This window comes from Homo sapiens, chromosome 7 (genome assembly GCF_000001405.40).
Source record: "Homo sapiens chromosome 7, GRCh38.p14 Primary Assembly".
Lineage (NCBI taxonomy): Eukaryota > Metazoa > Chordata > Mammalia > Primates > Hominidae > Homo > Homo sapiens.
Genome location: NC_000007.14, coordinates 84,561,697 through 84,575,551, shown reverse-complemented (window position 1 = coordinate 84,575,551; position 13,855 = coordinate 84,561,697). Strand labels below are relative to the sequence as shown.

General features: G+C 33.0%; 1 long non-coding RNA gene across 2 annotated transcripts in view; it reads right to left on the bottom strand.

Annotated features, from left to right (window-relative positions):
- The window catches only part of LINC03017 (long intergenic non-protein coding RNA 3017), a 51,843-nt gene that overhangs the window by 8,767 nt on the left and 29,221 nt on the right, over window positions 1-13,855 (bottom strand). Inside the window, exon 3 of one of the 2 annotated variants that reach the window (NR_110080.1) lies at window positions 4,445-4,573. This is a non-coding gene — a long non-coding RNA (long intergenic non-protein coding RNA 3017). Of the gene's footprint in view, window positions 1-708; window positions 4,574-13,855 lie in introns of those variants that run through there. The other variant, NR_110079.1, reaches the window with a different exon arrangement.

Here is a 13,855-nt window from a genome sequence, read left to right as displayed (position 1 = left end):
AATTTTATATTTGTTTATTTTTTATTGCTTTTATCACTCCTAAAATATAAACTCTTGAAGTCACAGACTTTGTCTTATACACTCCTTTATTTCCAGAGTCTAGAATACAACTTGGAATATAGTAGGCCTACCATATCTATTTTTAAAATAAAGAACTGGTGCATAAAATTACATTACTTTCCTGTCCCCTTCTATGTTGTTCATGAATATGTATTGTTTAGCCATTAAAGTTATTCACCTCCTCCCCCTTTTTAACTATATTATTGGCTTCATTCTTTTCCCATTTAGTAAAAATATAATATGAATATAATCATTTCGCCTTTTCCCCTTCCATTTTGCTTTCCTTGCTATTATCTGAAACTTCAAGCACCTTTGGTGGTTTACTTCTTCCCTAGTTCATTAACTAAGTATTCTTCCTTTACTTACTTATCTTATTTTTGATATATCTAATTTTCAGATGTTCTATTACATTATTTATTTTCTTATTTTATTTCTTAGGATTTCAGATGATGTGAAATAATATTTCTTTTTAGTTATAAGAATATTATGATACATAATATTCCAATACAATATTACATTTGCATTAAGAGAACTGTGCACTCTTAGGCTCATCTCCTAAGATTAGCCTTAAGGGAAAAAAGTTAAAAAGAACTACAAACTTCCTATCTTAAATTATACTCTCTAAGAATGACAACTAAAAATAGTGGCTGTGAATGACACCAATAATTTATTCATTTCTATACAAATGGAAACTGTGCAGTAACAAGAATTGAGCATGGTACTTTCAAATTATTAGATAGCCACAATAAAGATAATGAACTGGAAAACGGTAGTTACAAACATAACGTAGTTTATACGGCATGGACATCTTATATAACCGCTGGAGGTTAGCTATGCCCTGGGACACTCAGGATAAATAATTCATTTTCCATGTAACACGATTCTGACCAATGACCTATAAGTAGAAGTGCCTTGTGGAATATCCGGGAAGTGTCTTAAAGGAGGAATCTGTTACTACCATGTTTTTTCTTACTTCAGGCATTTACTTGAGGAGCTGCCTTAGAAAATGATGTAGAAACTGTATATTGTGATCAACAGATCATAAAAGGAGAAAGAGCTGGCATTCCTGATAATGTGGGGCTTCAAGACCAGTGTTAGACTGCTTACAATTAATTCAGAATGTTATAAACTTTTCTATTGCTTAAGCCACACTTATTTTGGATTTTCTGTTAATTACAGATTAATTTATCTTCCAAAGCAAAAGTCAGTTGGCAGAGTTGAAATTGTGTTTCAAGTTAGTTATATTGATAAACAATGTGTCATTGAAGGAATAAAATAAATAGGAAATAATGACTATCATAAGAATCTCTTGTCTCAGAAATTGGGCTGAGACATTTTGTTGGTATTTATGAACTTTCTCATTCCACATATGCAAACCTTTTTCTGATTGCACAGTTAGAGAAGGCTTTGCATTAGACAGCTTAGCACTGCGCAGAGATGAAAATGGAAGGGGAGGAAGAATGTAAAACAAAGCCAAAGTGATTGTAATTCCTTCTTGTTTAGAAATTTAAACCATTCGTCATCTGAGTGAATTTTAAATATTTCTTAACCAGTATTACTTTGAACAAAGGAGATGATCTAAGTTTTGTGGAGCCTGAAGCTTAAAAAATGTTTTTATCCTCTTTAAGATAAAGCGAGGATAAAATTATAAATACAACTTTGGGTGTTAAAGGATTTTTTGAAGAGAAAAAAAATGCCAAACATACAAATATTTAACAGCTGTAAAACCTATAAAGGTCACCTTTATCATCTTAGTAGAAGAGAATGATCACAATTGATCATAGTTGATTATAAGTTGTTTTTAATTTTAAGATTTAAGTATTTCAACTTATATTTTTATTAAATCATGAAATACTTATGGTTGTCCTTCTTTTGAGGTGTATTCTGATTTGTATAGTCTCTTTACCAATGCATTTTTTATCAAATTGCCATTTAAAATTTTTAAAAAGTGTTCACATTTCATTACTGTTATTAAATAGATTGTAAAAAATCCAAGAGCCTATTTAATATTTTTTTTGAAATTTATATCCCTGTAATTAATTACTTCATTTAGTATCATCTGAAAAATAAACAAATGTTACAAATACTGTTATCTTTCATCTTGATCACTTTTATGTCACATTCCATTAATATTTATCTAAACTTTTCTGTTATTTAATAAATAAATTTTAAAATGACAAGAGAAAGCAACATACAATAATAAAAATGTGACTAAAAATTTTTAAATTTTTTTTTTAAAAGTGACTAAGTTCATAAAGTTAAGCTGGAGCCATTAAGCCCTTCACAGAATCATCTATTTTGGTAAGATAATCTAAAAACACTAATAATATGTGAAGTATGAAACCTGTAATATAGTTATAAATTTATCCTCACTTTTTGGAATCTAAGTTCAAAAGGTTATCCATATATGAAAGTTTAGAAGACATATTTATCTTATATTTATATTGGTTAAAAGAAATAGTCATTTTATTAAACTACTTAATATTAAATATTTTCTTAATTTTACAAATAAGCGTGATAAAAATATAATAACACTCAGGTCAAAAATTAACACTGCAGCATTGAGATGAATATTTAACCAGTGAGTAAATTTTAAATGCAAATTCCAAAAGAACATAACAAAAATATTGTTCATTTACCATTAAAAAAAACATTTCCCTCACCAAATCTTAAATTATGGTCTCACTTCAAAATCTAATAATGAAGTGTCTTAAAAAAGCACTAGGTGCTCTGTAGTTCTCTTTATCAACACCTAGATAAACATTAAAAGATTGATTCTAATCTGAACAGGGAAGTGTTACTGTGAAATGAAGGTGAACATGTTGATAATTTCATTAAATTCTAATGATATAATTAACTTAAATTCAGAAAATTCAAAAGGCTGGCTAGCCCAGGAGAATTTCTTCTTTTTTTTTTTAAATCCGACCTTTCACCTCTGTTTTACCATTTTGAATCCAAACCAGATTAAAAGCAACCGAAAATTGTTAACACATGATGTTGCTTGATGGTTTATAGGAAATTGGTTGGTGGTCTCAATCACACGGACAGGTATTCACATCATAAAAAAGACCATTAGCGTTTGTAGCAATTTATCTCCTTACATTTAGGCCTAAATGAAACAAAAACATTATTTCAAAACAACAACAACAAATTTTTTCAAGGACAAAAATTGTTTAGATTCTGAAAAACATATATTTCAAAAGAAAACTCTCTTGAAGTATATGTAAATATAAATGTAAATAAATATAAATGAAATAAATGTAAATGATGTTTGAATCACTATAGAAACTCTAAGATTAATAGTGTAATTTCTTTGATAAATAATCTATTCATTTCAAAGAAAATATAATGTTCTGAATTTTTCAGTATTTGGGAACAATGAGAAAAGTAGAGCAGTAGATAGTTGTACAGAATTATCACAAAATCTGTTGTGTATGTACATGCGTATAGATTCCCCAAGAAATGTATTAAAATTTTCTCAACCACTAAAGAATTAAACATAATATTGGCTCATACATCCCTAAATCCAAGTACAAATTCTACACAAATTAAGTTTGAAAGTTATTTTATAGTATATATCCATTTGATAAAGAAGTTTTACATTTAGTACACTTTGTTTCTATAAACGAATATAGTCCTGAAATTCAAGTATAAAATATACTTGAATGAGAGTTTAATTTAAGCCAATTCAATTAAACTAAAACTAGAGAATTTGAAAATCTCAGATTGGAAACATCTTTTGCTGCTTCCTCATGCAACCTCCCTTCTTTCTCATCTGATACATGCATTTCTTTCTTTAACTCGTAGTCACATTTTCTCTACTAAAATACATTTAAGGATGAAGAAATTGTGTTTCATAAAACATTAAATTTCATTTTGAAGTTGCTTCAATGAAGATTTTTCAGTGTATTACGTTGAAAATATATACTCCTATCATATCTATCAGGAAGTCCTAGTTTTGCCTTCTGTGGTGACACGTAAAACCTATATACCTCTTTCCCCTAAAGTAATGTTTTTAATACCTGCCTTTCAAACATAGTCAGCTACTTTCTGTGACTATGTAGCTAACAATGGAGAGCATCAATATAAACCCTGGCTTGTCACCTTCCCCAAGTCTTGTGTTCTTATGACCATCACATGCTGACTTCACAATGCTGTGAAAAAGAGGACAGTGGTTTTATGAAAAAGAAAGAAATAGTTAAGCACATGTTGCAGAAGTACCAGTTTGAAAATACTGTCACAGATTTTTAAGGGGACAGGCCTTGGGCAAAGAGTTTGTTACAAAACCTCAACAGGTTGGCTAGGGGATGGATATAAGTAATGCACAAATTATATGACTAGTTGGGTGTTGCAGGATCAGGGACGGATAGGAAGTTAAACTCACTCAAAGATTTCTGGTTTATCATGTTGGGATGATGTAGCACAATCAGCCACAGGAGGGAGGGCATTTGGCCCATCTTCATGGAGACAGCTCTTCTTTTCAGACTTCTAATACTCAGGGGAGAGGTAGAGCCTATTTTCAAGATGAAACAGAAAGTGGGGAGGTGTCAGAGAGTTGAATTGCAATTTAATACATTCAAAACCTTTAGCAGTTCGAATAGATTCTAGGGTGAAATTCCATCTGAAATTTAACATACTGTGATGAAAATATGAAGTTTTTTTTTAAAAAAAACACTCAATATACTACCCATAGACCAACGAGTTCAGCAACTTTAGGGTAATTTGCAAAATGGTTTTACTGTAAAACGTTTGAGTTGTGGCCATGAATTTCTAATGTGCTAATTAGAATGATAACTTTCAAAATGCAATGGAGTCTTATTGAAGTTTTCTAAGGAATTCAGTGGGTTTTTAGAGATCATATTTGGAATCTTAGAAATAATGATAAGAACTGGAGAACACAAATAAGGGAACAACAGACACTGGGATCTACTTGAGGTGGGAGGATGGGAGGAGGGAGAGGAGCAGAAAGGATAACTATTGGGTACTGAGCTTAATACCTGGGTGATGTAATAATATGTACAACAACCCCCAAGACATGTGTTTATGTATGTAACAAGCCTTCACATGTACCCCCAAACCTAAAATAAAATTGTTTAAAAGTACATGAAAAAAGAAATAATGTGACAAATTTAAAAATTCAGGCTCAGGAAGATTGGGATTTTTCCACAAACACATACCTAGTGAGTAGAAAAGCTAGAAATCAAATCCAGAAAGGTGAGGTGGATCAGATCTGAAGCGTTTTATACTCATGGTTTTATGCCAGTCAGTCACAGATGCTTGAGGTTTTCATATAAAGCCTCATGGCCTCATGTCTGTCAGAGGGTTCTCACCCTGCTTTCCTTTGTAATAAATACCCTTAAAAAAGATCAAAGCATTTTTGGTACCAAACAACATAACGTAATTGATGGTTTTCCTTATTGAACAAAAAGCTTATATACACAAGGTCAAAGTTCTGCTAAGAAAGGCTAACACTTGGGACATATGTATCTGTACTGAGTGGGTCAGTTTATGGGCAAGTTACACCCAACAAAAAACACAATTCTATTGAAAAACATTTTTTTCAGTAAGATGTAGAATTCATCCTACTGAAATCATCTGCATAAAACATCAACATCTTGGGCAATTTACAGGTTATTTAAATTAATACAGGAGCCAGCAGCTATCTCTCGTGAATGAAGTAAGTTTGGTAGGGATAAGAGGGAGAGGTGGGGATTCTGGCAAACTAAACATACCATATTATAGTCAATTTCAGTCATGTGGAAATGTAAGTATTATGTTGCCAGATCTTTCATTTTTTTTTTCAACATCAGTTGGAGATTCAGAATTTAGTTTTGTTTTTGTTTTACATGAAGGGAAGTGGGTGGAAATATACTGCCTTTAAATCTTGTTGACAAATAAACCTTAAAAATATTTTATCAGCCCAACAGACAACTTTAAGCTTCATTGAATCTGGGGTCTTTCAACTTTCAATCTCCATTGTAGTAGTATCAAATATTTTTAAATCTCCATTGTATTTATATCAAATGTTTTTGAGATGGAATATAATGACAGTGAGAGAAAACTTACAACTTTTTCTCAGTAACTTAAATCTCATGGAAGATTGTTGAAAATCAATAAGAATCTACAATAAATAGTTTCAGTACAAAGCAAACTTAATCAGCAATACTGTATAAATATACCCAATATGTTTTGAACTAATGAGATTCAGAAATAGTGTTTGTAAATGCTTTATTTCTTCCCCTTTGATTAAGATACAGGAGCCCACCAATAGTAGCTCTTGTTCATAGCAGTTACCTGGGGAACACATCTTTCAAGATCAAATGCAGGACCACTTCACATACATCTGGGGACAGAGATCAGAAATCTATGCTTCCACACTTGTGATTAACTGCCATGTCTTGGATATTTCTTAATGGGTTAAGACACGGAGTCAGAAAAATAAAACTGAATTATCTATCAGGAACAGAAATCAGATTTCCAGGCTATGCTTGGAAACACAATTATCTGGGTTATGCAGTGAAACAGATGCAGCAAAATGAAAGTGAGACAAAACCATGGTAGCTTGTGTCAGACTGTACAATGCAGATGAGACACAGCGGAGGTCAGAGGGAGGAGGAGGAGAAGAAATATTGGGCTCAGTTTCTGAGACCGAAAGAATTTATAGGCAGATCATCAAAAGATGCAGAATATCTGGAAGGCTTGAATACCTGGCAAGATACAGTGGTGAATCCCCCACCAAGTCTGGTTCACATTAAGATGTGTGTTTCAGCTCGCATACTTCCATCCCTGGCCTAGCAGGACAAGCTGGGTCTATAATAGAGGTTAACACATGGCAATATTTTTATGCCTTCTCTTAATGCTAAGTTCTGAGAAACAGACAACAACTACGAATCTACAAATAGAAATCTAGTTCAGAGGCCAGGGACTGCTTTCTGTCTCTTCACTCTTACTTTTCAGTCCACTATATCATCAGTAAATTTGGTCTTCTAAAACCCTTTTAAAAAACAGTATATCTCATTTGTAGTAATCATGTTGAAAAAAGATATGGTGAGAGTCCAGTCTGGAACTGTTTTGTATGTCTCGTTTATTACTATTTTGAGTAAAAATCTTACTTAAATAACAATCTAGCTAAAATTCTAAATATGATGGCAAAGATAGTCTCATCGTTTTTTGAAGACATTTAATGAACATGTACTATGTGTCATGTACCATTATAGGATTCTGAGGTGAAGAAGCTACAAGTGGTCCCAGGCTTCTTCGATTTCGAGATAATGACAGAGACAGACCTGAAGATAAATGATCATAACTGTGTGAAAAGCACTGTTAACATACATATGAAACAAGTGCTATGCGGGTTCTGAAGAGCAAGCTGATAATTAACCAGCAATTATAGAAAAAATTTACACTTCAGGATTATATAAAATAACAATCCTTCAAAATTGTATTAATTTCCCTTTTCTCCGCCCATCATTCATTATTTGCCTGATTCATTATTTGATATTGATTAATGATACTGAATTTTGTTGCATTATTTTGCTAAAAAGTCCATAACAAAATATCACAAACTGGGTGGCTTAAACAAATGAAATGGAATTGTTTCACAGTTCTGGAGGCCAAAAGTCTGAGATCAAGTTTTTGACAGGGCTGTATTCCCTGTAAGGATATGGGAAGATCAGTTCCAACCCTTTTTCCTAGCTTCTGGTTGTTCATTGGCTTGTAGCATTTTAACACCAATATTCACATAGAATTCTCCGTGTGTGTGTGTTTCTCTGTCCAAATATTTCCTTTTTATAAGGATACCTGTCATATGGTTTTGGGGCCTACCCTACTGTAGTATAACCTCAATTTAACTAGTTACATCTGTAATGACCCTATTTCCAAATAAGACCACATTTCAAGGTACTTTTGGGGTTAGGACTTCAACATGTGAATCTGGGAGATATACAATCCATCCATAACATTTGTCTGAAGCCTGTTTATCTTGTGAAAGGCCTGAGTTCCTTCCAAGGATAGGATACTCTGAATCTGAATTTAAGTGCAAATATTACCAGTTGGATACAGAGCCAGGTGTGTTTTCTGTAAACTGTGTAAATATTGACAATGAGGTCTGTAAGTGATCTGGTAATCTGAATAATCCATATAAGAGAAATAGGTGATTATAAAATAGTCTAAGATCTAAGTTCAGAACAAATGTCCCTAGTAACAGCAAAGTATATACTGGGTTTATGATTTTTTACAAAGTCACTTTAAGATTTTGCTGAAATATTTGTATGTTTTTCAGTTAATCCAGGAATTTGGCAATTCTTTCATGGTTTCTTCCAAAAGAGAATCTGTGGTGATACAAAAACTATTTGATTAGATTTATTCAATCTGGAAGAAGTAAGAATAGGTTCACCACTGCTTAGTTTGGTTTGTCTGACACTAGGCATTACATTGAAATGGTTAGAAAAGTGAGAGAGACACATTGTTTTATTTATACAAAGAAAGATAAACTATGGTTACTATACATAAGTGTTGGTGGAGTACCAAAGAGTGATTGACGTGTGTTAATAAGAAACCTATGTTTCATTGTGATTGATTTATCATATTAAAATACAAGACATAAACTTTGCATTACAACAAAGACATGTTATATAGAGCATGGGACAGCAGTGGCAAGTCTGGGGACAGGGTTGGTAGATGGGGAAACTTGTTCTGGCTATTTTGACATGACTGGCACATTTTAAAAGGTGGCATAAAAATAACAAGATTTGTACATTGTACTTAAGTCATGAAACTTGTATCACTGTGGGATAAATACTTTTTTTACAAGCACATCATTTAGGAAATTAGAGTGTTGGTATAGCTTCTGTGACTTTTGACTCATTGGTCTAAGGTAAAAGATGATAAATTTAAAAATTAGCAGTAGTGATGACATAATCACATTTGACATTTTCATAGAAAACTTTACATCAAAGGGACACATATAGATACTCAAATTTTGATAAGTTTAAGAAAAACAACAACAAGGAGATTAGTTAGAAAGGTCCAAAAGGAAAAAGGTAGGAAACTTAAATACATAGAAATACCATATACCCTGTCTAAGGATACATTATCAGAGATTTGTGAACACCAACAAAAGTAAATATGAAGGTTAGATGTTTGAGTTTGGAAAAGATGGAGGAGAAGTGATCAGAGACCACAATACTGATCTTTAGGGATAATGTCAAAAAAAATCACAAGTCACTCCGAAGTGCATAATAAAAGAATTCCCTTTAGACAAGTGACAATTATATCAGAAATGCAAAATCCACTGAAGATTATATTGACCTATTAGACGATGTTGGGAATGAAACATTCCAAAGAGATAGCAAAAAATACAAAGAGACTGAATGGATGCTTTGTGCTTGGCTTGCTTTCCAGGATGATGAAGAAGTATCTACTCTGGAATTACTTCGTACAAAAAAAGAAGGTGGAGAACTGTCAGAGAAATCAAAACAAAGACCTGATTGAAAAAATATGAGAAATTAAGTGGCCATAAATCACTATGTTCAAATGGTCTTCATCTAAAACTTCTGAAAGAGTTAAAGAAGGATGTAGCTAAGCTACCACCAAAAATGTATCAACACCTTCCATCAAAGAGGAGGGTGATGAATGCCCATCAATCTTTAAGAACAGTTCAGTGTTACTTGTAAGGTTAGGTTTTAATAAAAAACATGGTGTTGTCTAGAATTATTCAAGTCTTTAAAAAGGAGTGTATTTGTCCCCTTGTGGAAACTGTGTACTTTTACAATTAGTTGTTTCTGGAAAAGTTTCTCCACACATAGCCTTTCTTTCTTGTTTTGTTTGTTCTGTTGTTGTTTTTATTGTAATTTTTAAGTGTTTCTACATGAGTTTACTACCCTGAACATTACTGAACACTGCTTATTAGACACACACTGATGGGTTACCAAGGAGAGGATTGTAATCCAGCCTACAACAACTCATAGCAGCATTTGTTGGTTGTCAACTTGGTCTGATTGATAAGCAATAGCTTTATTGTTACAACATGTGGTGGCACTTTAGATACTAAGAACCATGCTGAGAAGAGCACAACAAAACCTGCCTGGTAAACTTGATTTTCCAAAGCAATGCATGCAACTACTTTGCCTGAGAATTTTCGCATATCTTGGGAGGGTGGTTGTTTTCAAGTTAGGGCAATTCTATGGTGCCCAAACTAACACAAATTAATAAATGGCTTATTAGCTTGTTAGAGTTTCAGGTGATAAATTCAGCGCTGCCCATTAAACACCAGGCATTGACTGTGCAAGCTCTCTGTTGAACTCTTAGCAGGTGAGCACAAGCCAGGCTTTCCCATCTTGCATCGCTGGTGAACCTCAAACGTGACCTCTCCAAAGGAAGGAGGAGAAATCATTTGCCATGTTTACTTTATATTGAAACTCTTTTTAGATGGAGACTCCTAACTGAGCCGAATGTTCTTAGTTAAGAGTGTGAGATGTGCTGCATGATTGGTGTTTTTGACAGTCTCATGAACAATTATTTCATTTGTATCTTTCAGCCATCACCATACCTAAAGAATAAGTTAATGTGAAATACCTGTGAAGTCAAATGTGTTTCATGATCCATTTTCCTAAACGGTGTGATATTTAAAAACCAGTTCACTTTTTTTTTTTTTTTGCTAAAAGATAAGAAGGGAGCTTATTCAAGGAACATTTCTCTTCTGCCTCTTTCTCAGGATTACACGTATGTTCTATGACGGCAGCGAATACTCACACTGCTGCCTTCTCATTGCAACTATTTCATCCAAGCCATTCACATTTTGTGTTTTGTTTTTATTTGTTTTACTGTTTTACTTAATGGGGCAATTGTCCCAGAGCAATTATGGACATCCTTTTTTCCTTTTATCTGGATTATGTCTCAGTTTCCAAATTATTGCAGAAAAAAAAAATAAGAGCAAATAATTGTGAATGAAGTGGTGAGGAAAAAATGCTTCAGCAGATAATCAGGACATTTGAAGTGGGCACTTCTCTCAATGTTTTTCAATTATTCAATACTTTGAATATCTAAAAAAACTATGTACTCATTCCTCAGAAGAATGTACAATTACATGTAAATATTTTGCTATGCAATTTCAGTGGTTTATAAACCTACAAATAACCATCTCCAGACTAGAAACTTTTGCCTGGCTGATACATTGAGTACAATAAACTACTATTATTTTCAAATAATATTATATTTACTATCAAATAATAGACACCTTGGCCGAGCATGATGGCTCATGTCTATAATCCAAGTGTTTTGGGAAACTGTAGAAAGAGGATCACTGAGGCCAGGAGTTTGAGGCCAGGAGTTTGAGCCCAGCCTAGGTAACATAGCAAGATCCCATCTCTATAAATAAAAATAAATAAATAAATAAATAAATAATTAAAGCAAATAATAGACACCATGAAACCCTCAACCTGTACAGGGATATTTAGCCTGTAAATATCTTAAGCAGATTGCCTACTTTTCCATCAAATGGAGGCAGAAGATTCTTTTCATACATGAGACGTAGTGAAGCTGTTACTAGATTTACAATTAGAACTAGATCTAAATACAATTCGAACTGTAATTAAGTTGCTACAACATGTAGTTCTTCTAATTCTCTAATAGTTTTTTTATTGATAAATTAAACAGATTGAATTAGGTTTTCTCTAAGTCCAGTCCAGACTGGAAATTATATGACCATCTATATTTTACAGGAAAAAGTTCCTGCTGTCATTGACTGCTGACTTAATAATAGGAGAAGTAATACATCAGTTGAAAACATGCAGGAATGGTAGAGTTATATGAATTGGATGTCTGTCTATTTAAAAGTAATTTAAAAAGTTGTTATTTAATTTATATTTTCAGAAGTTTATGTTTTTATATGCTGTTGAGATTTCAGCTTTTTCTATCTTAAATTCATGAACATGATTCCTAGAACATGTATATCTAAAATGTATTATTTTCAGGTAGCTTTGTTTTTTAAACATATTGCAGTTTGCATGCCTAGTGAAAAGGACAGAAAATATATTTTGAAAACTCAATGAATTTATTAATTTTGTCTTCATGATTTCAGAAAAAAAATTCAATTGTTTTGTTTTTCTTAGTTTGTATCTAGTTAGGGAAGGCAAAATATGCAAGACAGGAAGAGCCAGACACTCGATTTCAACTGCCTGGTTCAAATCCTGATTGATCTCTTCACTACCTCTTTGACCTTGAGCCTTCACCACTGTAAATTGGAGCAGCTAATAATAAGGCCTACCTCAAGGGATGCTGAGAGACTTAGATGAGATACATATACCTAGGTAAAGTGTTAGGCCACCAGAGGTGATCTAGAAATGTTAACTGTTATTCTACTTAACTTTGTCATTCATTTACAAAATATTTTTTAAAAGAGGGTTGTAAGAATAAAACTGTATTCATTATGATCGTTTGGCTCTGAGTAATAGAAAACTCTGATATGCATATTTGTTTCTCTCTCCAATTAAAAAAAAAAGAGCCCAGGATAGCTAATCCATGGGTGGGAGTGGGATGCTGGTCCATGGGGCCAGCAGGGACTTGGGCTCCTGTATGTTTTTATCTGCCATCTTCAACTTGCAATTATTACAGCATTGTCCAAAAAGACTGTTCACCTTCAGCCAACATGTCTGTATGCTTACCACCTGTAAGGAGGAAGGGATAGAGAAGGATATGTTACTGTTTTTTAAGGACATTGCTCCTGTTTATATCCTATGGACCAGAATTTAATCATTAATTATAGACCAATCTTAGCTGTAAGCTTTACACTAGGCCTAGCTCCCTTACTGATAAAAAAGTTAATGTATATTGGGGGACAATGAGCAGCTTTGCCACAAAAATTAAATAGATCACTTTTTAATGATCAAAATTAACAAAATTCTTATAAAATATAATTACTTTATGACTTAGACTTAGTGATATATTAAAGCACAGTTTTTTTCTCCCTCAACGGTTATTAATCCCCCTACTTAATAGCTTTATGAACTTTTATATTATATCTTTCTCATTATTCTCTTCATTTTTTATGTATAACTGAAGTAGTTCATCTCTTCAAAAATTTTTTTAATCCCTCACCTTATTTAGATACCCCTTCTATGTAATTCCATACCACCCATTCCATACTCTAATCATAGGCACTTATAACACTATAATTATGAATTACATGCCTATATCCCTTATTCAAATATTCCTTGTGGGCAAGCACTACATCTAACATGTTTTTGTAACCTCAGACTATTTCTGAGGTTTTGTAACCTCAGCGTATTTCTGGAACATAGTACATTCAATCATTACTCGTCGAAAAAAAATAAATCCATGGACTGTGTGAGGAAATTTATGTGCAGTGGAATGTAGAACACTTTGACAATTATTTGATGCATGTAAAAACTAGAAATCAACTATCATGCATACAACACATACTTGTCTAAGCTCTCTAGTTATATAACAGGTCTTTGAATTATTGCTCTACTCTAATGTACCCAAAGGAATACTGCTCCCGATTTCCCACATATTGAGGAAGGTGAGAGCTTTGAGCCATGATTACAATTTAACCTGTATTAATAGTAATCTCAAAATTCTGTGACTCTGTTCTTTTCATAGAGAGTGGACAATGAATCTCTACATTTTCAGCTACTTTCGTATTCCAGACAGGCTGAAAGTGTTTACTCTGAACTCATTGATAAAGGAATGGAACTGACACTCTGACCTGACTGACAAAATGAAGTATTGTCCCAGAGAGAGGATCCTTGCACATTGTAAGACAGTTAGAAAATAG